General features: G+C 42.7%; 1 protein-coding gene and 1 long non-coding RNA gene across 2 annotated transcripts in view, besides 1 other annotated feature; one reads left to right on the forward strand and one right to left on the reverse strand.

Annotated features, from left to right (window-relative positions):
• DTD1 (D-aminoacyl-tRNA deacylase 1) overlaps window positions 1–27,195 on the forward strand; it is a 178,591-nt gene that overhangs the window by 83,586 nt on the left and 67,810 nt on the right. The gene's annotated exons all lie outside the window — the stretch shown is intronic.
• On the reverse strand, window positions 2,756–27,069 carry DTD1-AS1 (DTD1 antisense RNA 1). Its single transcript, NR_109955.1, has 4 exons — window positions 26,810–27,069; window positions 20,329–20,377; window positions 7,176–7,340; window positions 2,756–3,975 (listed from the first exon to the last, which is right to left on the reverse strand). It is a non-coding gene; the product is annotated as a DTD1 antisense RNA 1 (long non-coding RNA).
• Window positions 11,519–12,388: an enhancer, noted in NCBI's record as "OCT4-NANOG-H3K27ac hESC enhancer chr20:18663802-18664671 (GRCh37/hg19 assembly coordinates)". NCBI's record gives its function as "activates a minimal SCP1, AML or CMV promoter by ChIP-STARR-seq in naive H9 embryonic stem cells {active_cell/tissue: H9 hESC(naive)}" and the evidence as "EXISTENCE:reporter gene assay evidence [ECO:0000049][PMID:30033119]".

A 27,195-nucleotide genomic window follows, 5' to 3' on the forward strand; every position in this document is an offset into this window, starting at 1 on the left:
GATGTTTTAAAAGGAATATTTTGGCATGACTATATTTGCTTAATTTCTGATGACTTCCAGGACATGTATATCTACATTTACAAAAACAAAACTGTGGTCTCTGGGAGCAGAGCAGCCCCCTTGGTCCTCACCAGACCTGGGCCTGGAGAGAGAAGTGAGGTTGCTGGGGCAAGAAGTTTGAGGGCAGGAAACATAAACTTGGAAAGCTGGGGCCAGTGTGCAGAAACTTCTCCATTTACAGTCACCAGAACGTTCAAGAGCAACCCAGATGTCAAACCACCTTGAAATACAGCTTTTAAGAATGCAAAAGCTGGCTGGGCGCAGTAGTTCATACCTGTAATCCCAGAACTTTGGGAGGCCGAGGTGGGAGGATCACTTGAGCTCAGGAGTTCAAGACCAGCCTGGGCAACATAGGGAGACCCCATCTCTACAGAAAGTTAAAAAATTAGCCAGGTATGGTGGTGCATGCCTGTGGTCTCAGCTACTCAGGAGGCTGAGGTGGGCAGATCACTTGAGTCCAGGAGGTCAAGGCTGCAGTGAGCAGTGATTGCACTACTGCACTCTAGCCCAAGTGACAAAGTGAGACCCTGTCACAAATAAAAGAATGTAAAAGCTAAGTCATCATTGTTACAAGACAAAGAAAATTAAAAAAAAAATCAACCTGTTTAGAGATAGCTTATGAACCAATTAAGTCCTTTGCAACCTCAGTACCTTTGTAAAGCAGTTAGCTGACTCCAGACTTGGGCATGATGCTTGTTTCACATGCCATAGCTAAATAAATCTAGTGAGTTTGAATAGCTTTTTTCAGTTTTTTTTTTTGAACTTAGGTATTCACCAAAAAGCTTATCAATACTAACTTTCAAGAAAAAAAGATTTGTTTCCCTGTTTGGGTCAAACTATATTTCCCAAATTGGTATTTTATAACAGTTTCCAAAATGATATCCTAACTCAGTATTTTGAAGAATTTTAGCTTCAGAAAAATTCTCTAAGAATGAAAGGATTATTTTATGGGTCTTACATTCTTTTATACTATTCAAGTTATCTTCTCTCCCCTTTTCAGAGTTTGGATAGATAGGGGAACTCCATTGGTTAAACCTAAAGCAGATACCTAACAAGTCAACATCCTCATTGTAAGTGGTCCTGCTGAATTCAGTAGGGTCTAGCAAACTTCCTTTAGTTAATTAATACATTAGCTGATTTGGGGCTGTACCATTATGGTTGTTTGTTATGATAAGCCAGACAGGTGCTGTTCAGTTCATAATTTGGCTTCCTAGATGTAGAAGTCTCCGGCTTCTGAGCCAAAAAGCGAGCGGGCCCTGTCGTCCAGCTGGGTTCTGCTTCATTCTATGCATGGCGATACTGAGCACGGTGGTGGCTGGGTACATAACAAGCGCTCAGTAACTGTTTATCGAATTAGTGAATTGCAGAAAGAGTTAAGTGACCAGATGTCATTCGTACTTATGGAGTAGCTTATTGATGGAGTGCCATCTGGTTTCCACAGTCTTGTTATTATCTGTAACTGTTAATTGATAGCCTAGCTGTTTAATCTGTCCAGTATGTTCAAGTCCCAAGTTGAAATTTTGAGGTTAATTAATGTTTTTTCCTCATATTTTGTACCCACCTAAACACCTTACAGTTAATAAAATGTTTAACCTTTTCTGGTATGAAAAATTCTACAAGTCAAAACACATGGTAGAATATATCTATGAATCATATTTTCTTTTGTGACTGCTACTCCTTTTTACAAGTTATTGGGAGAGGGAATGGGAGGGACTTAATTCTTCCCAGATTCCTGCTCTTATATAATGTAAAGGGAAAGGCCTAGAGTGATGAAAACTTTTCTTGTCAAGTTTATGATTCTTGACCTTTTTAGAATGGTGTCTGTCTCAGTTGATTAGAAAAATAAAAGTACAGTTTCTTTGAAATACTGTAACTCATTATCTTCAAAAGCACTTCTACTCTTTAAAGCCTGTTTATGTCTAAAATGACGTTAAAAAAATACCCTTACAGGAGAGGGAAAATGGTATTTCTAGTTTGGGCTCCGGGGAACAAACACAGAGGTCTTTTTACCAGTCCTCAGAGAGGTAGTTGTGTGGCTGTGTGGGCCTAGAGTGTGTTTCAGCCGAGAGTCCCACAAAACCACCCTGGCAACGTTGATCTGATTAGTTTTCTCTATAAATTGTGTGGTGGCCCACTACATAAAAATGATTGTATCCATTTTAGAGAAAAATGTTTCTCTAAAAAAATGAAATAAAACCCTATGTTAGTTTTTTTTTTTTATTTAGAACTAACAATTTAAAAACTTTATCGTATTTTTCTATTTTGTTACAAACCATTTCAGAATCACCTTTTCTTAAATGACCAAACCAAATTTCTCAGGATTACCTTTTTTCCTGTAATTACTTGCTAAATTTCTGTATTTCCCTGTGGATTTATATATCCTACTTTGGTGATTTTTTTTTCCAATTTACTAACTTGATTTGATATTAATATACAGAGAAACTGTTGCAAGTGAAACATTCTGAGCAATAATAATTTTATTGACTTGGAAGCCTGGCTGTCTTGATTTCCAGTGTTTGCCTGCAGTGTTTAACTGACAACCCTGAGATTATTACCAAACGTTTATGATTTTTTAAAAAGCAGGAGAAGAGGTAGAGAGGGGAATGGAAAAAATGCTGTTTAAATTAGAAACTGCTTGTAGCAGTTCCATAGGGAGGCAGTTAACCCAAGTCACTTAAAATATGGTCACGATATTGAGAGTTAAATAATTTTACTTGGAGATGACTTCAAGAACAAATATCAAAAGGTCCAAATGAACTTAAAGGTACATCAAAGGGATTGCAGGGCAGCATGCATAGTTTCAAGAGTTACTTTGTGGAGGGTCGTTTCTTCTGTGGGTTTACCCCCAATTTGGGGCCACATGTGACCTCGTGACTCCAGATTGATTCCTAGTGCCTCTGTGGACAAGGCCAGATGCTATCTCCTCTGGGGGAGCTGATGCCCCTCCTCTGCTGCCCCAGTTAGTGCTCACCAAGCAGTTTTGGAAATCAGCTGGCCTCCCGTCTGTCACAGGGGAGCCCTAGACCATGGTGATGGAAATCTGCCCCTGCCTCTGCCCCTGGGACCACCCTGGGCAGAATAGTGTGGGTGCCTGTGCAGAGACCTTTCAGCCTTTGCCTGCAGTTGTGCTGGTGGAGACCCCAGTCCCAGCTCCTGGGAAGTGAATTCTGTGTGTGTCACATTGGTCTTTAAGTCAGGCCGTCTCTGTTAGTTGTTTAGTGCAGCATAGCAGGTTACTCCCAAACTCAGCAGCTCAACACAACAATAAACATTTTTTACACAGTTTCTGTGGGTCAGGAATTTGGACCATTGAGCCCAGGTGTTTCTGGCCAGGGGTGTCTCATGAGATTCCAGCCAAGCTTTTGGTTGGGGCCTCGGTCCACTGTAATTTGGACAGGCAGGAGCGCCTACTTCCAAAGTGGCCCACTACAGAGGCTGGGAAGCTAATGCTGGCTGTGGGCAGGAGGCCTCAGTGTTTTGCCACATGGGCTTTTCCACAGGGCTGCTTGAATGTCCTCACAACATGTGGACTGGTTTCCCCCAGAGCCCTAGCCTTGGAAGTCCCATACTGTCATTTCTGCAGCATCCTGTTGGTTATGTAGGTCAGACCTACCTGACTACATGGGTCATGAATACCAGGAGGCAAGAATCACTGGGGACCATTTTGAAGTCTGGCTGACACACAGTGGCAAACATACCTTCCGGTTGCTGGATCCATGTTGTTGTCATCCCTTTGTATGGCTGGAGAGGAACAAGATGCTCAGGGATTTTGGGTGCCATTCTTGAGTTATATTCTAGGGAGCTTTCAGAGGTGGCTGCCTGGGCATAATAGAGGAAAGCTGTATCCTTGCCAAATGTCTCGGGGAAGCATTTTCTTCAAACTTTGTACTCTTTAAATCAATGATGATACTTAATCTTGTTTTTAAAAAGAAGAAAATAAGATCACCTTTAATTCTAACCTTCACATTACCAAAATGGTTTTAGTCTTTTTTCTATGTAGTCCTTTTTTCCTATGGCTACATATGTGTATATTTACACACATATATATGTAAATATACCTATGTGTATATTTACACACATATATATGTGTAAATATACCTATGTGTATATTTACACACATATATGTAAATATACCTATGTGTATATTTACACATATATATGTAAATATACCTATGTGTGTATTTACGAAATGGGATCACAACATACTGATTTATAACCTAAGTTTTTTATTCCTAATATTGTGAATATTGGTATGTTTTTGCATACCTTGAAATAATCTTTTCTGACCTCAATTTTGATGGCAGCCTACTATTCTGCCATAAGACATATCATAGTTTATTTAGCGAAATCACTGTTTTTGGATTTTGGAGTTATGCTCTAGTTTTTCCTCTTAGGAGCAGTGATTTGGTGAACTGTACTGTGTACTGAATCTTGCCATGTAGCCCAGGTTGATGCTTGCTGTAAGTTCCCAGACCTGTAATGCTGGGGTAGAGAATGCAGACATGTCCAAGGTTTCGAAACTGCTCATCAAGAGCTCCTCTGTGATGTTTGTATGTTGTACCCTTAACTGGCAGAGTTTGCAGGTGCCCCTTCCCCACCTTGGAGTCAGCACATCATTGTGAATGTTTGCCAATTTGGTAGAATAAAAAAAATGAGGTGATAGAGCAACTTTGTTTATGTGGAGTTTGCCTTGTTTTTTTAAAAAAGTCAGCTATTCCTAATTGTCTAAAGAAATTAGGTCGGGGGTGGGTGGGGAGTAGCATGTGCAGATTGAATTGCAACTGCCAGGCAACTCAAGTGGAAACCCAAGCAGCCTCCCCTGTGAGAAGCTGTTTTCTCCACCCCGTGGTGTAGCCAATAAATTGGAAAATTGACGGTTGTATGTTTGAACCTTCATTTGTCTCTACCCACCCAAAATCTCAAGGTTCTGCTGAGCAGCAAAACAGACAAGAGTAGAGTGCACACACAACTGATTTATCTTCAGAGCCTTGAAGACCAGAGATGTCCTGACTGTCTTCACCGACGGCTGCTGCTTGTAGGATCACATTTTGGTCCTATCTGTTCTCAGCTCTGCCGCTGGTTAACTTACGGCTCAGTGACAAGCAGACTTTTGGATCCCAGTCTGGTGTTTCACACTTGTGCATGCGCTGGAGTAATTCTCGTTCGCCCTTGAGTAATTCCATATCAAGCCCCCCAAAAGGGCAGGAAAGGGAAGGAGAAAGGAACTCACATTTACCAGCTCCTAGCTCCTACTTGCCGTGCGTTTCTCTTGTTTTTATTCTTACTGCCTCCCACCCCCTAAAAAGAAAAGAAACAGGTATTTCCTATACATTATTCAGGTGACAAAGTAATTAATCATTTATAAATAACATACAGCTGAATACCTTCTCTTGTGAACTTTATGAGCAAGTAAATATTTTCTTATTTGACGCTTTTGTTTCCTCTGCTTGAATGCAAGAGCTTTACAACCCTTAACAGCCCAAGTGCATTTGAAATGGTTTGAGTTTTCACTGTGTTGTTTCTACAGACCGAAAGAAAACATGCACAAGTTTTTCCATTGAGTAGATAACATGTCACTTTTTTTTTTTTAATGGACTGGAGCTGTGACTGTTCAACTTGTTGCTGAAGAATCCGTGTTCTCTTGTGCAGCTCTGAGTTATGTAGGGAACAGTTCGTTGATGAGATGCTCCTAGTTTATGTTGCTGAATTTTTTTCTTCCTCCCAGAGCTGTTTTCTCTTATTTAAGAACACTTGACACAGAGAACTGGGGAGGGGTGATCAAAACTGGCTAACATGCCTCTAATGCCCATCCTGTGCTGAGCAGAACGCTTTGCTCTGATGTTGGACGTGGTGGAAATCTGCTCCCAGGGAATGCTTTTCATAAGCCATGGGTGTTCAACAAACACTGATTAATGCAGATGTTTACTTTCCAGAGTGTCTAGAACCTTCCACCGATACAGTTTTATTAAATTCCCCCCACACCTGAAAGGAGAACTGTTTCAGTTTACTGATGCAGAGGACACAGGACAGAGAGGCCGGGTCAGATAAGAACTAGGTCCCGAATTCCCTCTTATTTTTCTCTCTTTACAAACTTCTATCCAAATACAACTGCAAAGACAAAGTTCGGGACTATCTACACAATCTTAAGCAGTAATTTGAGAAATGGAGTTGCTTCTTTTTAAAAATTAAACCTCAGCTCTCCTTAGTGGATACACAAGTGTGATCTTAAACATGCTTGGTGAGAGGAAAGAGAAGAGCTCACTTCTACAACACTGCACACCTTGATTCTTTGGTTTCTTGCGGGATAAATTAGAAATGCAGGTTTCACTGAGATTTTTGAGACAATAGAATATTGCCCAATTTAGTTGGAACATAAAAGAAAGGCTTAGAAGAGAATTTGAAACCAAGAGGTTCACTAAATGCCAGCAGGGTCAGGTAGGTCAGCAAATAAGAGAAATTAGTGAAACTGCTTGTGTACTGGAGCGACCTGATGTAGATAGCCTCAGGTTGATCAGCACCTTGAGAGCACCTGGGGCCATGGGGCCACCTCGCAGCCCTCTGTCTGCAGGTGCACCAGCTCAGCCCCTTAGGTGAGAGGAAATAGAGCTGATTTTATGAGGCCTCTGGGTGAGGGGTGGACTGTTAACACCTCCACTGGTAATTCAACTTTACTGTCCAGAAATTGTTCTTCATATGAGCTTGCATCTTTCTAGGTTAGCCCACTGCCTACTTTAACCCCACATCTCACTGGACATGTAGTATCTCTTGAGTTCTGATACTTGTCATTTTCTGGAAACTCGTAATATAATATTTTGAAACTCGATTGCAGGTGAGACCATATTGTAACTGTGATCTATTCTAAAATAAAAGATCTGAAAACATATCAGAAATACACTTTTAGGATTATAAAATGGACATTAGCTAAATGTTCAATGTTGAAATGAAGTTCAGGTGAGCTGTTTACCCTCTGGGAAGGCAACATTTTACCTTTTTGGTTCCGCATTTGTTTTCTCTCTCTACTTCCCCATTCCTCTTCCTCCCCTCGTCACCGCCCTTCCTCTTCCCTTCCTCCTGCATTGCCAGCACTACTTTTTTTTCTCCCCTCCCCTGCTCACCCCACATCTATCACATTCCTTGATAGAGAGTTGATTTTCTTCTCAGTATGTCGTAGGCTTAGAATCAGTAGACCCTGCCGGACACAGGCCTTCTCCTCACTCTTCTGGGCCTTGGCTTTCTAGGAGAGCTCTTTTCTCCATGTTGTCTGGTCATCCATTAGATGGCTTATTAGGAGTGGAAGAAAAAGCTAGTGAGACCCTGGGCTTATGTCAGCAGCTGTTTTTTGACATTTCTATAGTATTCAGAGTTAAACCCGGAGTGAGCCACACCCTTAACCAGGTCCATGAGTGAGCCAGCAACTTATTTCTGGTTTTCTCAAGACCATCCTTTTGAGTTGTGAAAGTGTTTCTTGATTTACATTTTCTTTGATTGCATCTGAAAAGGCCTGTTGGCCTGACAACCGTTGCTATGGGAATAATACTCGTGGTTAGTGCTGTTGGCAGTCACCATTATCAAAAGGATCAGGTGCCTATTTATTTATTCATGGTGTGGAACAAGGTTCCCTCATAAAGCGCATGAACCTTGTTCTCTCCCACCTTATTATAGTCTGAGGTTTACATGACGTGCATCCAAACTGTAGTAGTGATTTTAATTTGCCACTAGTGTCTTTAATTTTCTAAGGAGTCTGGGAACTTGAGATACATTTTTTGGAGAACAGATATTAAAAGTGAGATTTCAAATAATTACCCTTTCTGGTATGATTTATATGTAACACTGATCTGCCTGATTGTCAGGGGGAAGAATAAACTGCTGTTGAGAACTGACCTAATCAAACTGGCCATATTCAACTCCTAGATTCTTTTTGGTAGGTAATTATCACTGCTAGATGTTTGAGGTGGGTGAGGGCTGGTTATTCCCTCACTGCCAGATGTGATGGAAATAAGTAACCAAATTCTGTTCTACAAGGTTTATTAAAGAGACATGAATTAATAAGTAAGCCCTAAATATTTCCTGCAACCTGTTCTGTTAGCTTGCTGAAGCCTCCTTGCTCAGGAGAGATGCCACATCTTCTAGATATAGGAGCAGGAGCTGTTATCTCTTACTTATTGATACACAGTCAAAACAAAAGTCTCTCTATGGTGGTTCCTGGGGATGCAGTAACAGCTGGAAGACTTTTATGGTTCATAAAATTGGGTCTCCATTAGGCCCTCAGAAGTCTCTGATCCAGGATCAGTATATGTATCATTGCTCAGGAATTAAACTTTGGACACCTTCCTTAGGTGTTGTAGAGACTATAGACCTAGGTAGATTTATATACCTTGTTTATGCTGGGGAGGGGAGTGTGCTTCAAATATCATAGCCAATCTACATTTCACATATACCATTAATTTCACTGGTGAGAACTCATTTCTAACACCCATTTTGCAGATTATCAAATCACTAATTTTATTCACGGTCTCATTGTGTCACCTAGGCTGTAGTGCAGTGGCACAATCATGGGTCACTACATCCTCGACCTCTCAGGCTCAAGTAATCCTCCCCACTCAGCCTCCTGAGTAACTGGGACTAAAGGTGTGTGCCACCATGACTGGCTAACTTTTTTTTTTTTTTTTAATTTTGTAGAGACACTCTTTATCACAGTGATTTTTGTTGTTGTCTACGTTTTTTTTTTTTTTTGGTCTCACTATGTTGCCTGGACTGGTCTTGAACTCCTGGGGTCAAGTGATCCTCGCATCTGGGCCTCCCAATGTGTTGGGATTACAGGTGTGAGCCACTGTGCCTGGATTGAACACCTACTCTGACCTTCATTTTGTCATAGTATAGCTCCATGCCATGGTCTGGGTAACTGAAGCATCTGGTATCGCTGCCTCTGGAGTGTGGCTCCTGATTCCAATGTGGGGTGCTCACTCCTGTGGTGTGCAGGCCAAGGCCTCCGTGTCTCTACTGTAGGGAGATAGCAAAGCAACCACACAGCTATTTTCTTACTGTGGTCTGAGACAAGGTGACCTTGAACAGGCCTCACTTCAGGAGGTTAAAAGTACAAAATAAAGCCAGCTCAGAGTAGATGACGGGTTAAACTTTGGTGGTGTCATCTTAAAATGGTTCCCTGAATGAGTGAGTTTATCTGTATCACAAGGACAATTTTATGAACCATAAAAGTCTTCCAGCTGTTACTGCGTCCCCAGGAACCACCATAGAGAGACTTTTGTTTTGACTGTGTATCAATAAGTAATTTGGTTCAGAATAGTTTTTCGCCAGTCCTTTTCTATAAGTCAACAAATAACCACTTGCAAGAAATAAGTGTTCTCTGCTCTTTATCCCAGTGATTTGTTGTTGTTGTGTGTTTCTACGCCGGGTGAGTGGTTTGGAGCTTTTTATCTGAGTTAGCCAGGGTTAGGTGGTCCTGAGTACTGAGCCACACACCCTCATGCAGGAGACTCCTGACTGGGGATGGGAAGCTGTCATCTCAGGGTTCAGATGCCAGCTGGGCACGCTGAGCTGTCTGTCCATTTGGGACACTTTATAAGCAACTGGATTCATTTACAATCTGGTTTGCAGGCAAGGCGTGCAATTATTTTAAGCATTATAATGTGAAAATCAGATGAAGCCCCACAGACACTTTTTATGGCAAGATGTCATCCGCTTGAGCCATCATTAATTTGTCTGGATTGCACATATCATTCAGGTTTATCCCATTGGAAATTCTATGGGATCCACCAAGTGTTTTTTGGAGGAAGGTGTTTTACTGGGAAGTTTTTCAATATGAAAATGAAACATCATTGTCTGGAGAAGAACAAGGACAGGAATTAGAATGGGCTTTTTGTCAGAAAGCATGTAAGCAGGAAGAGAGTAGAAGAAAATGTTTCCAGTGTTGAGAGAAAAAGGCTGCCAATTTAGAACTCTAAATCCAGGGAAGTTATCCTTTAGAAATGAAACAAAAACACACTTCCTCAGACAAACCAAAACTGAGGGGATCCATAGCTGGTAGACCTGTCCGGCAAGAAATGTTAAAAGAAGTTCTTCTGGTAGAAGGAAAATAATATTATCAGTAGGTTAGAAATTTGGATCTACATATAGAACAGAAGAGCGTCAGGGAAAGATAAATGAAAGTAAAATAAATTCTTTTATTTTTCTTATTCTTACTTGACTCAAAAGTTAACGATTTAAACCAATCATAGTGATGATGTCCTGGCGATTGTGGCATATGGATAAGGGAGATGAGTGGCAGCGGTGCCACTAGCCATGGGAGGGAGGAACTGGGAGTGCTGTTCTATGGTACCTGCCCACAGGCGTTAACAGTACAGTGTTATTTGAAGGTGGGCTTAGATGAGTTACAAGTGTGTATTGTAAGCTCTGGGCAATCACTGTGGATTTTAAAAAGAAGTATAATTGATCTACTGAGAGGGGGAACCCGTATTTGTGAAGGTGTATAACCAGCCCCTCATATGCTCATCTCCTCCCATTTTAGGCAACAGACATTTCAATTACCTCTTTCAATTCCATCAGGCCACTACTCTGAGGGTGATATATACGTGATGTGTGACCATGTGATGAGAGATTTCTTCGCCCATTGTTGGACATTGTGCTGTAAACTGTGTTCCTTGCTTTGAAGAAATGTAACATGCTCTCCCAGATGGGCACAGTATCTATTGTTTTAATCCACTAATAGTGTCTTGAGCATTACCATATCCCACCCAGTATGCAAAACCCAGTCCAGAGTAAATGTATGTTCCTGTTAGGACCCATGTGTGGCCTCCTGAGTGTAGAAGCAGTGGTCCCATGTTGTCTGTTGTCCTTGGCAGCTGTGTGTGGAACCTTCCTCCCTTAGCTGTCTGTAGTCTCTTTCTTGCTGGTAGACAGGACAATCCTTGACATTTTGTGCCTTAGAGCATACAAGAGGAAAATGTTGACAGTCAACTCATCTCTACCTTGCCATAGCTCCCTTGTCTATTTATTTTTTGGACACAGATGGCTGGCCCAAGCGAGCACACCCAATATCCACTAGTTGGTTTCAGTTACCTTCTGTCCTGGAAGAAGGTTCTTATGGGCATCAACATGTCTGTTTAGCTCCTTAAATTACCATAGTGGTTTTCATAGGTTCATGCCCCATGTGGGTATACCCTCAATAGCCCTGTGTTCTGTCTGACCATGTGGCAAGCCATGGCTACTGCCCATGAATATGTATATGCTCAAACTTCAGGACTCATATTGTTGCCTATATTTTTTTCATTATGAGGAAAACAGTTTACAGATTAGGACACTGAGCTGATTTACTCTTAACCTTCTTTAATCAGAGTTTTCCTATTAGTCGGTTGTGGTGTAATGGACTTCCAAACAGAATGCTGCCCATCTATCTTGGAGTGCCATTTGTAAACCAGGCAGCTTTTTGTTGGTCAGTTGTGAGTTGGTCATAGGGCACTGCGCATATGACAGTAGGGTCTGGCAGCTTTTCAGGTGGTTCCAAAGTTGGCCCTAGGTGAAAATAGACTACCTGTTCATGGATACAGTGAGTAGCTCCTTGAGTTCCTCTGTTAGCATATTTCTGCGTGACCATTTCCATTTTATTATGTGACTCTTCTGGGAACTGCCTTTCTTATTAGAGTGTTTCTCTGTCAATATTGTCTAAGACATTATGGGTATTTCAGATTTCAAGATTATTTTATGTCTTTCAGTCATTGGGGCAATTTTCCTTAGTACCCAACAGCAAGCCAATAGTCATTTCTCGAGTGGCATATACCATACCACTATGTTTAGAAATGTTCAGGTCTGAGATTCCAGTGCTTGCTGCTGGCTGGTAGTCATGAGCTGTGCCCTAAGCTTCAGTCTGTGTAAGTGCAGGTTGAAGACACTTCCAAAGTCCTATCTGAGTGTGGATCATAGGGCCCAACAGGCTTTGACTGAGCCACTGCTTTTTGCAATTCAAAGATAGCCTGATGCAGTTTATGCTCCCATTCAACTGTGACCTTCTTTGGGGGTAGTTTTATGGTTAGGAACTAGCAGTATTCCCAGAGGTGGGATACGCATGCTCCAGAATTCGAGCAAGCTGACTGGGCGCCGTGCTTCTTGCTTGATTCCAAGGACAGGCAATGGCAGCAGGTTCCTGCTCCCTTTCTGCCTGCAGCCTTTCCAGCCTATTTCCTCAAAGCCCTGACCTCTTGTAACTATGGTTTTTTTCCCCCTCTACTTAGATAGGTATCCTGGAGGGGATAAGAGTAGGAGCAATTCCTTTTTCAAAGCTCAGATGAGGCTCTGCAAAGCCTGGAGAGTAGGCCTTTCCCTGGAAAGTGGGCCTTTGTTATGGAGATGTGGCTATGTGTATTTCTCAAGGGTTGCTCTTCTCTCCTACTGGAGCCACATGAGGGTCTTCTCAGCAATTCACTGTGAGAATCTGGTCCAGTTCCTGTCTGGAAAGATCCACCAAAGTATGTGGATCTCCCCACTCCTGCCTCCCCACCCCACCCCTGCATGATGGGCTCCCAGGAGTTTCTCACTTTCACACTAGTTCATGCTCACCTCCAGCAGTTCACCAAATGACTTTTTTTTTTCTTGAGATGGAGTCTCACCCTGTCACCCACACTGGATTGCAGTGGGGTGATCTCAGTTCACTGCAACCTCAGCCTCCTGGGTTCAAGCGATTCTCGTGCCTCAGCCTCTTGAGTAGCTGGGATTATAGGTGTATGCCATCATACCCAGCTAATTTTTATATTTTTAGAAGAGATGGGGTTTCATCGTGTTGGCTAGGCTGGTCTTGAACTCCTGACCTCAAGTTTTCCACCAGCGTAGGCCTCCCAAAGTGCTGGGATTACAGGTGTGAGCCCCCACACCTAGCCCCAAATTACCATTTAGATGTTCTTTTCAGTTTATGGCTCCAGAAGCTTCTGCCACAGCTAAGCAGATCTCAACTGCCACTCTGGATTTGCTTGTCTCTCCAGATTTCAAGGTGGTGATTTGTCCTATGATCTTAGTTTATTGATGGGTTCAAGAAAAGTCTTTAATTTTCAGTTTGTCCAGCCTTTTCTTGTTATAAGAATGACAGTGACAACTCCCAAAATCTCTACATGTTGGAGCTAAAGTCGGAAGTTTCTCAAATCCTGTTGTAAGTGACTGTGCCTGAGGGCTCAGCCCCACTAAGGCACAGTTTTGTTTTTTTGCTTTTTTTTTTTTTAATTAGAGATAAGGTTTCACTGTTACCCAAGCTGGAGTGCAATGATCATAGTTCACTGTAAACTCAAACTGGGCTGAAGCAGTCCTCCCACCTCAGCTTCCTGAGTAGCTGGGCCTATAGGTGCATACCACCATGCCCTGGCATATTTAAAAAATTTCTTTTGAAGAAACGGGGTCTCACTGTATTGCCCAGGCCAGTCCCAAACTGCTAGCCTCAAGCCATCCTCCCAATTACTGAGTTTACAAATGTGAGCCATTGCACCCAGCCACAAACAGTTTTGATAAGAGGCTTCTGGAAGGAAAGAGGAAGGCTAGAAGGCTCCAGAGATCAGCTCACAAGACACAGCCAACCCTTTAGAGTATGTTGAAGGAAATATGTGGCAAGGGATAAAGGTGCTGGAAGGAGAGAGAATCCACCCCAGGCATGTATAAAACCAGACCTGTTTTCCTCCTTATACATAGCTGCCAGTTGGCTGCACATGACGGGTGTATGTGAGAGTGCTTTCTGCCTTGGACCTGTGGCCATGGGTGGCTGTGTGAATGTGCAGGGGGGCAGAGGCGCCAGGAAGGGAGAAGGTATGGCAGACATCCTTGGGGAGGCAGGAGTGACTGAGCCCTGCGCCTCGCTCCAGCTTCAGTGGCTCCATGGCAGACACGTGGGTGACCGAGTCTCTCTCTCATATGTGCATTTGGATTTTGTTGTTGCTGCATACTCAACTCTGGCTTAGTACAGATTCCTAGGGCTAAAAACCAAATCAGCACATTTCATACTCTGTGGTTTGTTTTAGCTCTCTTTTCTCAAAGCTAAATACCTAAGTAGGAACTTGTGCTTTGATGTGACATCCCAAATGTACCTTCTTTGATGCAGCCCAGAGTGTGTTGTAGTCACACTGAACAATGGGAATAGGAGAAGGGAGAAAGCCAGGCAGATAAGTTCCCCTCTTCCTTCTCCCCTGCAGTGTACACCAAGTCATGGTTTTTCTTTTTGCTTGCCCAGAGAAAGTCCTGTGTGCTGCGCCAACTTCAGTGTCATTTGTAGGCCCATCGTAAAGTGGGAGCCTGTAGGGCCTTTGCATCATGTCCCAGTCCTTCTTACTTCCCTTCCCAGTGGCCTCACTTTTGTCGCCCTGGTTCTGCACCTGCTAAAGAAAGTGTCAGCCTCAGGTTCTGTTTCCTGGAGGATCCAGACTGAGACACACATTTACAGAAATCAATGACATATGATGTATTTCTCCTACGTTGAGATATAGAATATCCACCATAGTTTGTGTCCTCTTTTTATTTAAACAGATTTTATAAACATTTTCCCCATTTGAAATATTCTTCTCTAGCATGATTATAAATGGCTGCAGAGTTTTCCATAATGTGAATGTATCAGCTTTTAAAAACCAATCTCCTATTGTTGGATATTTAGGCAGTGTGTGCCCTTGCACATCTATTTTTGCATATATACCTTTGGTAATTTCTGCAGGATAAATTCCTAGAAGTGGAATTCCAGTTATATTGTTTTATATATAGTTATATATGGCCAGTTAGCCTTCCAAAAAGTTTATAATTTACCTTCCCAGCAGCAAAGTATAAGAGTACTTGTTTTCTTGGATTCTTCCCAATATTGTATATGCTTTAAAAATCCATGTCAATTTAGTAGGTGATAAGTGATCCAGCTGGAATTTACATGTCATTTCTTATATGTGAGGTTGAACCTTTTAAACATATATTTATTAGCTGTGTGTGTGTGTGTGTGTGTGTGTGTGTGGTGTGTGTGTGCATGTGCATTTGTGAATTGCCTGTTCCTGTCCTTTGCTGGTTTTTATCTTTTCAATGGAGGTGTTCTTTTTCTTATTGATGTGTGTGTTCTCTGTTGTCCACCGTGTTCTTCCTTGTAGCAGACCATGGCTATGGCCCTACTCAAAGACCAGGTTAGAGCAGAAAGTCTTGGGGAAGAGATTTTATGAGAAGTTGCACCACCACAATGCAGACTCACTCAGGCCTTCCACAAATATTTATTTAGCACTGACTTTGTGCCAGGCACTGTCTAGACACTTGGGATTTAGCAGTGAACATAGAAAGATACATACAGAGCTTAGATTCTGGTCTATTGGGGGTTGTATGGAGCTATGGGAAATGGTGCAAAAGCAGACAGGTGTGCCAGGTGGTGATGAAGGTGATGGAGAAAATTCAGGCAGAGGAGAAGGATGGGGCTTCCTAGTGGGCTGCATTTTTAGGGAACCATTTGAGTCAAGACCTATGCCAGGGGGCAATCATGCAGAGGTCTAAGGAAGGACATCCTAGGTAGAGGGAACTTCCAGGTTGGGTCCCAGAGAGGGCCAGTGCTGGGTGAGTTTGAGGAACTATGACAGCACACAGGGTGTGAGGGTGGCAGTGTTGGTGGAGGGAGGTGAGGGGGTGTCAGGACCAGGGACACAGGGCCTCAAATCTGAGCAGCTTTACAAATAGCAAGTTAAGAGGGATTAGAACTTGTACAGGAGTGTAGTTTGCTGAAGTGCCTTCTGATAAAGGAGAAATCTCTTCCACAGTGGTAGCCCAGGTTAGACTTAGTGAACTGTAGGAAGTAAAAGGAGGTATTTATAGTGTATTATGTTTGTAAAACATAAATAAAGGGTTTTCTTTTTTTTTCTTTTTCTCTTTTTTTATTGAGATAAGGTTTCTGTCACCCAGGCTGGAGTACAATGGCATAAGCATGGCTCACTGCAGCCTTAATCTCCTGTGCTCAAGTAATCCTCCTACCTCGGCCTCTGGAGTAGCTGGGACTATAGGCATGCCCAACTAATTTTTTATTTTTTGGAGAGACGGGGTCTCACTATGTTGCCAAGGCTGGTCTTGAACTTCTGAGCTCAAATGATTCTCTCACCTTAGCCTCCCACAAGCCACTGTGCCTAGCCAAAATAGGATTTTGAAGGATGGGGTGCACAGTCTTTGGACAGTAACAGTAACAAAGAAGACAGTTTTGTAGAATTGGAGAAAATGTGTTTGCAGAAGGCTGTTTGGACTTGTGCCTTCTTAATCTTTAAGCAAGGTATCATCGCATCCCACTTCAGAGGTGGTTGTTAGTTGATTCTCCCTTCACCATTCATCAAAAGAACAGTCTGATGCCAGCGGCTAGTTTCAAAGAGTAAAACGGAATATCTCTTTATTTCTTTTAATTAATAAAACCCATGCATGGTCCATCTATATTTGAAGCTAAAGTTATGTCAGTATAAGAACATAGTTCCTTGGTTCTCAGAAGATGTTTATTCATTCACTAATCAATTTTTTCACCTATCAAATATTATCATTTACCTACTATGCCACGCACTAGGCATTTGGGATACCATGATGAACAAAACTGACACAGACCCTCTCCTCACTGAGTCTTCGGACTTGGGATCAGGCAGACATTTTTGAAATAATTCTACAAATAAGTATTAATTATAACCTGTGATAAGTGCCATGAAATGTAAGTACAAAGTGTCAGAGGAGTGTGAACCTAGATTCATGCAGGGTACAGGAACTCTTCCCTGAGGAAGAGAAGCTGAGCTAAGGAAAAGGGTGTAATGAGGTGAAGTGGGATGGGAAGAGCACTCCAGGGAGAAGGAGCAGCACATGCAACAGTCCTGAGACAGGGTGACCCTGCGGCTTTCCTACATAATGTCAGCGGACTACAGCGTAACACTTTGGGGGCATAAACTATTACCTTTTGGATATCTGGAAGGTCCCTTGCCGGGAACGACCCATCTTTCTATACTAGATTGCCAAGTGTTATTTTTGTTGTCTGCTCTCATTTTATCTTCTAGTGTTTGGTTTTTTAGCTATGAAGCATTCACAGAAATGATAAGAGCCAAGATCTCCTTCCAGGAATGTGGTGTTTAATTGGGTAACCCGTGTACCTGGGAGAAAATGCCCGCAGAATATTGAGTAGGAAGCAGGAAGTCCTTGCTCTGATCCTCATTCCCTGGGGTGGCCTGTGGGGGGTGGGGAGGTATGTGTTAGCAGGTGGAGCTAGCAGTGGCCAGGAAGGCATGACCCAATGAGAAATAAAAAATTCAGAACCCTCTGAAAGCATTGCAGAATATGATGGGAATTGAAATTAGAAACATTGTGTGCATTTCTAATACTCGTGCTAGGAAAAAGACTATAGCTGTGTTAAAGTTTAATGCGTGGACCGTAATAGAGAGCTGAACAGCTCTCCACGGCCCCGTTTTTCCATTCGTTTTCGGAATAAAGAAGCTGGTTCTATTTTAGGCTTGTATTTGGGAAGTGGACTTTACCAGAATGGGAGTCTGAGGCCAGAGTTGCCTTTTCCCTCCCATGTGAACAGATACAGTTGAGAGGTGAAGAATGGTGTGCTCTGCCCTCCACTGCCCGCCCCCTTTGTATGTGTGTTATGTGAAATTTTAAGGGGGTATATGGAGTTTGGTGATTTAAAATTCTTTATCAGTTTTCTCTCTAGATTTTCATAGAATCACCTATAGACTTTCTTTAGGGTACCTCTGTTAGGGACAGAAAAAGGGAATGAAATATACACCGGTTTCTTGTTGTTTTCATTTTTAGCATTCATTTGAGCAGGGATGCAACTGAGGCTTTAGTTTGCCCTTGGATTAGTTATCCTCTGTCTCAGTAGGCAGGTTTATTTGGACAGTGGCATATGGAGAGGGTCAATGGGGGCAGGAAGGATGTTGGTATTTTATCACTAACATTGTTTAAAATTACAGTGCATGTGGACAATAAAAACCATAATGACTTTATTATTTGTTTTAAAACTATCTAGACCAGCACTGTCCAATAGAATTTTTTGCAGTGTTGCAAATATTTTACATCTCACTGTCCAGTACATTGGACACTAGCCACTTGTGACTAATGAGCACTCTAAATGCAGTTAGACTGTGGAACTTAAATTTTAATTAAAAATTTTTTCATAAGTTTAAATTTAAGCCGGGTATGGTGGCCCATGCCTGTAGTCAGTCCTAACTACTTGGGAGGCTGGGGCAGGAGGATTACTTGAGGCCAAGAGTTAAAGACCAGCCTGGGGCAACTTAGCGAGACCTTGTCTCTACGAAAAACAAAAATAAGCCAGGCGTGGTGGTGTGTGTCTGTACTCCCAGCTACTTAGGAGGCTGAGGTGGGAGGATCACTTGAGCCCAGGAGTTCAAGACTGCAATGAGCTGTGATCACACCACTGCATTTCAGCCTGGGTGACAGAGCAAGACCCTGTCTCTAAAAAAAAAAAAAAAAAATTAAAAAATAATTTTACCCATGTAAAAAATTGAATTATTTGTTTTTGTCTTGTTGATTTTTTAAAAATTTCTTGTAGATTTTGGATTTTAGACCTTTGTCAGATGCATAGTTTCCAAATATTTTCTCCCATTCTATAGGTTATCTGTTTACTCTATGGATAATTTCTTTCACTGTGCAGAAGCTCTTTAGTTTAATTAGGTTCCACTTGTTAATTTTTGTTTTTGCTGCAATTGCATTTGGGGACCTAGCCAAATTCTCTAGCAAAGCTTATGCCAAGAGGGTATTTCCTAGGTTTTTCTTTCAGTATTTTTATAGTTCGAGGTCTTACATTTAAATCTTAATCCATCTTGAGTTAATTTTTGCATATGGTGAAAGGTAGGGGTCCAGTTTCATTCTTCTACATATAGCGAGTCAGTTATCCCAGCATCCTTTATTAAATAGGGAGTGCTTTCCCCATTGCTTATTTTTGTCACCTTTGTTGAAGATCAGATGGTTGTAGGTGTGCAGCCTTATTTGTGGGTTCTGTATTCTGTTACATTAGTCTGTGTGTCTGCTTTTGTACCAGTATCATGCTGTTTTGGTTACTGTAGCCTTATACTATAGTTTAATGTCAGGTAATGTGATGCCTCTGGCTTTGTTCTTTTTGCTTAGGATTGCTTTGGCTACTTGGGCTCTTTTTTGGTTTCCTATAAATTTTAGGATAGTTTTTTCTGTTTTTATGAAAAATGACATTGGTATTTTGATAGAAATGGCATTGAATCTATAAATTGCTTTGGGCAGAATTTTAACATGGGCAAAGGACATGAACAGACACTGCTCAAAAGAAGTCATATGCATGGCCAACAAACGTGGAAAAATGCTTGTTGTCACTAATCATCAGATAAATGCAAATCAAAACCACAATGAGATACCATCTCACATCAGTCTAAATGGCAATTTTTAAAATTAAAAATGAGCAGAAGCTGGCAAAGCTGTAGAGAAAAGAAAATGCTTATACCTTATTTGTGGGAATGTAAATTAGTACAGCCACTGTGGAAAGCAGTTTGGAGATTTCTCAAAGAACTTAGAACTATTAATATCATTCAACCCAGCAATCCCATTACTAAGTATGTACATACCTAAGTGAAAATAGATTGTTCTACCAAAAAGACACATGTACTTATATGTTCATCACAGTGCTATTCATTCTAGCAAAGACATGAAATAATCTAAGTGCCCATCAGCAGTGGACACATAAAGAAAATATGGTACATATACCCCATGGAATGCTCTGTAGCCATAAAAAGAACAAAATCATGTCCTTTGCAGCAACATGGATGCAGCTGGAGGCCATTATCCTAAGTGAATTAATGCAGGAGTGGAAAACCAAATACTGCTTCTCACTAAGAAGTGGGAGCTAAACACTGAGTACACATGGAAGTAAAGATGGGAACAGCAGACACTGGAGACTACTAGAGCGGGAAAGGAGGGAAGGGGATGTGGGCTGAAAAACTACCTATTGGGTACTATGCTCATGACCTGGGTGATGAGATCATCTGTACCATAAACCTCAGCATCACACAATATACCCAGGTAACAAACCTACACATGTACCCTCTGAATCAAAAATAAAATTAAGAAAAGAAAAATTTAAATAGCCACACCTGGCTAGTGGCTACCATATTGGACAGTGCAGGGCTAGACAATGTCCCACCTTGTTGCCTGCATCTGGGGTGCATGCATTACTCCTACTCCCCAGCCTTAGCCCCTACTGCTTGGAGAATCTCACACCTGGTCAGCATAAAGCCAGTTTTCAGGCTGCCACTTACTTACCTTTTGGTGTCTGTGCCATGAAAAGAGGCAGAGACCAAAGAGGTTGTGCCTATGTAAAAGGAAAAAAAAATTAGCACCTTACTTACAACTTAGGGCACAATAAAGCATGTATCTAAGAACATACTTTTATTGTCTACTGATTACCAATGATGTGAGAGCCACACCCCAAACTGTGTTCTCCTCCATAGTTTATTCTTCACTTTAGTGTACACACTGGCCAATGCAAGGACTTAATGATCTCCATCTTTCATGTGTAATTAAATATTAACATGATACCTAAGACAAGGAGTTTGACGTTTGCTGATTTGATGCCTTGTTTGTAAGTGATGGAGGTAATGAAATGGTTTCTAACTTCTTAGAGAAAAGTCTCTGGAACGTAGCATCTCCATTCATATTTGCCACAAGCTCTCTGTATCTCTGCTTCCTTTGGCTATTTGCCAGGGGGAATGCCTTTTATCTGCAGGTTTGGGGCAGGCTAGGGGGAGAAGAGGTCATTTTACTCTGCCTTTATGACAAGGTTAACTGGTTTCATCAGGCTAGTACAAGCCACCATGAATGGATCCACTCACTGAGGGAAGAAGACAAATGCCTGCTAGCTATGGCACTGATTGAGTTGTTGCTGAGGTCAGTAGCTCAAAGGGATGCACTAAAGGCAGAGCCATCTGGGCTGGAGTCAGGAGGAGCCCCACTGACTGCCTGGAAGGAGAGCTGAGGCTCTGAACCTTGGCTCCTAGCACTTGGCACCATACGCCTATAAATTATGTTTACTTTTTATGAAATCATCCCTGAAAAATCTTTCTGCCAAACAGGATAGAGCTGCATGTGAATTAATCAGCACTCTTATTAAAATACATCAGTTATCTTTTATTTTGCTATATGCTACTTGTACATCATTTGGACATTTTCTAGAAACAGGACATGGATTTTTTTTTTTTTTTTTTTTTGAGACAGAGTCTTGCTCTGTCTCCCAGGCTGGAGTGCAGTGGCACAATCTCAGCTCACTCACTCCACCTCCTGGGTTCAAGCGATTCTCCTGCCTCAGCCTCCCGAGTAGCTGGGATTACAGGCGCGTGTCACCACGCCTGGCTAATTTTTTTGTCTTTTTAGTAGAGATGGGGTTTCACCATGTGGGCAAGGCTGGTCTCCAACTCCTGACCTCCAGTGATCCACCCGCCTCGGCTTCCCAAAATGCTGGGATTACAGGCGTAAGCCACTGCACCCGGCCAACAAAATTATCCTTTGCTTTTCTTTTTGACCTTGTATTTCTCTTTATTGTGGTGGTTGGTGGTGGATGGGAAGGGAGGGAACATTTGTTTATATGACTTTTATGTAAATGAAGAGAAGTTAGTCAGTGAATAACATTGTTTGTTGTTTTCTGCCAGCTTTTCTTGTAATAGAAAAATTGAGGGCCAGGTGCGGTGGCTCATGCCTGTAATCCCAGCACTTTGGGAGGCTGAGGCGGGTAGATCACCTGAGGTCAGGAATTCGAGGCCAACCTGACCAACGTGGCAAAACCCCATCTCTACTAAAACTACAAAAATTAGCTGGGTTTGGTGGCACATGCCTGTAATCCCAGCTACTCGGGAGGTTGAGACATGAGAATCGCTTGAACCCAGGAGGCGGAGGTTGCAGCTAGCCAAGGTTGCGCCATTGCACTGCAGCCTGGGTGACAGAGCGAGACTCCCATCTAAAAAAAAAAAAAAAAATTGTCTTCCGCATGGATCACACTTATTTATTAGACATTTATTTGTTTTCTCCCTTTGCTCCTTAACCAAGCACCTTGAAAGCAGCACCCTTATCCCCATTGTGTATCCAGTCTCAGTGAGGTATTCACAGAGTGGGCACATGCAGGGACCACAAGCCCATCAGTAAACGAGCAGGACGTTAGAAATTAGGAGTTAGATCTGTGCTGACCAACATGCTAGCACCAGCCACGTGTAGCCATGAAAATTAAATTAATAAAAAATTTTCCTTAGCTGCACTAGCCACGTTTCAAGTGCTCAGTAGCCTTGTGTGTCTAGTGACTACTGTATTGCACAGCACGGATGCAGGAAGTCTCCATCGCATTGAAGGTTCTACCTGACAGCACCATGGTCGACCTTTCTGGAATGAGCTTGTTTAGTCTGCAGATGTTGCTGAGTATCTTCTCAGACCCTGCTCTGACCACAGGGATGCTGTGAGGAGCAACAAAGGCCAGGCCTGGCACTCACAGAGACACCATCTGGGTGAGGAACAAGGTGTGAGAAGTGAACGAAATTCTTACATCATAAATGTCAGTACCGCAGTGCTCACGGCTCCCTGGGGATACAGGAGTAAGATCCTATTCCCTCTTCTCAGCAGGGAAGAGAGATAATTAAGCATCATATTTTACAAATGGGGAGACAGATTAGTGCAGGTAAATTGAGCCCACCCGTGCCTTGCAGTTGGTCCCTTTGCCTCTCTGAGCTGCATCTTCTTACCCTGGTTAGTGAGGCGTTTAGAACGTGTTCTCCAGAGCATTGGTGAGGGCTCCAAAGAAAACCTTCTGCTTAGCACTCACCATTTAATACATTGAGGCTATTATTACGGTAACCTTTCATACTATAAAACTGGTTCGGAAGCTAATAAGCAACCTCAGCTAGAGGCCGCGGGAAGGGGAGGCCTTTACTGGGAAAGGGAACAACTGGGTTAGGGAGCAGCAGCCGGGCCTTCCGAAATGATTGCATTTCCCTGAGGGGGACATGCCTCGGTGAGATTCTTGTAAATGGAACACTTTGCAGACTCCTACTTTTTTTTATATACAGGTCACAAATTGCATTTATTTGTAGACATCTAGAAAACAATCAAAAGTGTGTATATCACTCTATATAGATCTTATTAATAATTTTATTTGGACAAGAGAACTTATGCCACAGCAGTCTTACACAGCATGGTTAAAGACTGCAGTACCCCCAAGAGTGGTTTCAGGTATGTACAGTATGTGAAGAAAAAGTGGCACCTCAGAGCCACCATGATCAAGTTAAAAACGCCCGACGTATAGTATATGTGCCAATAGATTCCCTTCAGGTCATGACCAGCATGAAAAACATCAGGACACAGATACTCAGCGCGTGTTCTGCGAATGTGTCCTGCAGTATCTTGCAGTTAAGAGTTCAGATCAGATCCTGCTTCCATGTTAGCATCAAGCCCTCAGGAGAAATGAAAAAATCCCTTTTCCCTTGTGCAAGTGTCAGCAACGATTCACACATAGAGCTGGAGTGGGCTGGGTAGCTGGCCGCAGAACCCAACCAGTCCTTGCCTGGGAGAAAATGAGATTGATACTGAAGGTCTCTCGTTCAGGTGCACATCTGCCTCTGGTTGTAAGAATTTCGTTTATTGGTTGGTAAATAAAACCAGGAGAAAGCAATGCAGGTCTCTGGGAATCTCATCCCTTCCATAAGGGAAATGCTCTGCCTATGCCAGCCCCCTCCCCCTCCGCCTCCCCCTTCCCCTTCTTCCCCTTCCCCTTCTTTCCCTTCCCCTTCTTTCCCTTCCCTTCCCTTCCTTTCCTTTCCCTTCCCTTCCCTTCCCTTCCTTTCCCTTCCCTTCCTTTCCCTTCCCTTCCCTTCCCTTCTCTTCCCCTCCATTCCCCTCCCCTCCCCTCCCCTCCCCTCCCCTCCCCCCTTCCCTTCTTTCCTTCTCTCTCTCTCTCTCCTTCTGCCCTCCCTCCCTTTTTCTGTTTCTTCCTCCCTTTCCTTTTCCTCTGACAGGGTCTTGTTCTGTTGTCCAGGCTGGAGTGCAATGGTGCAGTCATAGCTCACTTCAGCCTCAACCCCCAAGGCTCAAGTGATCTTCCTGCCTCAGCCTCCCAAGTTGTTGGGACTACAGGCGCGTGCCACTACACAGGCTAATTTATTTTTAATTTTATTTTTGTAGAGATGGGGTTCTCACTATGTTGCCCAAGCTGGCCATGGATTCCTGGGCTCAAGAAATTCACCTGCCTCAGCCCCTCAAAGCGCTGGGATTATAGGCGTGAGCCACTGTGCCTGGCCCACGTTTTATTCAGTCAGGAAGATAGGAGGATTTAAGGCTTTGGTGACAATTATAATAGTCTTGAGAAATTGTTTTCCCTTAAAGTCAAGGTGTTTTGTAGACTCCTATTTGACCATATTTTAATGGATGCTGTTGTCATATCTGCACCCAGGCTGCGTTGTCTTCTGTAAAGAGCACATCTCTGCTCCAGAATCTTCCCTAGAATTTTCCAGGAGCGAGGGGAATGTGGGCCTCATATGTCACCTTCCTGCCTGTGCGTATTCCCCCACCTCTCAGACACTAATGTCTTTGAGCAAGTCAGGCCGCCTGTCTCGGAGTCTCATTGTAGGTGAAAATGGGGACGTGCAGGGCCTTGCCAAGACCAGGAAAGATGACATCTGTAGTTTCCACGTCTTTCTCGGTCTCAGGTGGTTTGGTTACCCCAGCCCTTCAGGTCAGGTGCCCTCCTAGACTGGGGGTCCTGCGGTCATGATGGATGCTCAGATTAGGGAGGAAATTCATGGGCGTGACTGACACACTGAGTCAGCAGAGTCTAGAAAAGGTCACTATGCTCACAGGTGAACTGTAGTTTTTGTTTGTTTGTTTTTGTTTTTGAGACAAAGTTTTTCTCTTGTTGCCCAGGCTGGAATGCAATGGCACGATCTCGGCTCATTGCAACCTCCGCCTCCCGGGTTCAAGTGATTCTCCTTCCTCAGCCTCCCAAGTAGCTGGGATTACAGGCATGCACCACCACACCCAGCTAATCTTGTAGTTTTAGTAGAGATGGGGTTTCTCCATGTTGGTCAGGCTGGTCTTGAACTCCCGACCTCAGGTGATACGCCCACCTCGGCCTCCCAAAGTGCTGGGATTACAGGCGTGAGCCACTGCCCCTGGCCTGAACTGTAGTTTTTACTGCTTCCATTTAAAATCTGAGAAACTGGAGAAAAATCTTGTACTCAAGATTGGGTAAATCTCTTAAAAGTTATTTAAAGCAGCCAGGTGCAGTGGCTCATGCCTGTAATCCCAGGACTTTGGGTGGCAGAGGCGGGCAGATCACAAGGTCAGGAGATCACGACCATCCTGCTAACACGGTGAAACCCCGCCTCTACTAAAAATACAAAAAAATTGTCCAGGCGTGGTGGTGGGTGCCTGTAGTCCCAGCTATTCGGGAGGCTGTGGCAGGAGAATGGCGAGAACCTGGGAGGCGGAGCTTGCAGTGAGTGGAGATCCCGCCACTGCACTCCAGTCTGGGCGACAGAGTGAGACTCTGTCTCAAAAAACAAAAAAAATTATTTAAAGCAACATTACAAAAACATTGAATACAATAAGAAAACCAATGTGCTTAATACAACTATTTTGATTCCTTATTTCTTCATAGTGTTTTGCAGATATTCACATGTCCTTCTTATTGATGTAATTGTCATGAACTTTTTCACTTAAAGCTTTACCATTTTCAGTGAGGGTGACTAAATTTTATATAGTGGTAGAGTATTCCTTAAACAAAATGCTTGGGATCAGAAGTGTTTTGGATTTTTTAAGATTTTGGAATATTTGCATTATACTTATTGGTTGAGCATCCCTAATAGAAACATTCAAAATCCAAAATTCTCCAGTGAAATTCACTTTGAGTACAACCTTTCAGGATCGTGTCTGTTCTCAAAAAATTTTGGGTTTTGGAAGATTTTGGATTTCAGATTTTTGGAGTGTGGATATTCAACTCACATATTTTTTGTTTGTTTGTTTTTGAGACAGAGTCTCGCTCTTTCGCCCAGGCCGGAGTGCAGTGGCGCTATCTCGGCTCACTGCAAGCTCCGCCTCTTAGGTTCACGCCATTCTCCTGCCTCAGCCTCTCGAGTAGCTGGGACTACAGGCGCCTGTCACCGCGCCTGGCTAATTTTTTGTATTTTTAGTAGAGACGGGGTTTCACTGCGTTAGCCAGGATGGTCTCAATCTCTCAACTCATATAATTTTTATGTTTGCATGCTATTTATTAAATCAGTCTACCATAACTTTACTCTTGGACATCTAGATTAATTTTTCACAATTATAAGTAGTATGCAAGTGATCATCTTTATTCTGATAATACTTTTCTTTGACTGAAGAGAAATTCCAAGAAATGGGTATGAACACCTTTGTATGAGCAAATCAGTAAAACTTTAGCAAATCACACATTTTTACTATTCTGATAAGCTTTTCTAGGATCTGCTGATGTATATGTTTTTAACAATAATTACATAGTTCAGTTCTGTATTATTAACTTGAAATGATCTTAAATTTTTATCACAGAAAATATTAAACACATGTACACTGGGCAATAGAGTCTGTCGAACCCCTATGTGTCCAGCATCAGTGGACACCCAGGATGGCAGCTCTGATTTTGTCAACCCTTTAACATCTTCTATTACTTTGAAGCAAATCTCAGTGTTATTTCATCTATACATATTCAGTGATTTATTTTTTTAACCTCTACATTTACATCCAAAGTCCTTACCTTGTCTTTCTAGCTGCATAACCCACATGCGTTAAGCATCCCCTGTGGACAGTGGGAAACCATTGACTGTTTCCGAGCAGAGGAAGGATAAAGTGGTGAGAACTGTACTTTGTAGAATGAACTTGTTAGCTGTCTGCAGGATGCTTGATGTGGAAACACCTGGAAGTGAGGAGCTGGTCATCCATGTCCAGCCCTCCAGCTGTGATGCTGCTGCTCAGCTCATTCCCATTCCCTCCTCCCGCTCCCTGCCTGCATCTGTCTCCTTACCCTCTTATGAATAGTTGGTGACTGAGCCCTGCCATGGCTGAAAGTCACAGTCAAATAGAATTCTCAGTTAAAAGTTCCTTAAACAATAGGAACATTTGATTTTCTTTCATGAGTTCCGA

Source organism: Homo sapiens, chromosome 20, assembly GCF_000001405.40.
Source record: "Homo sapiens chromosome 20, GRCh38.p14 Primary Assembly".
NCBI classification, from domain to species: Eukaryota; Metazoa; Chordata; class Mammalia; order Primates; family Hominidae; genus Homo; species Homo sapiens.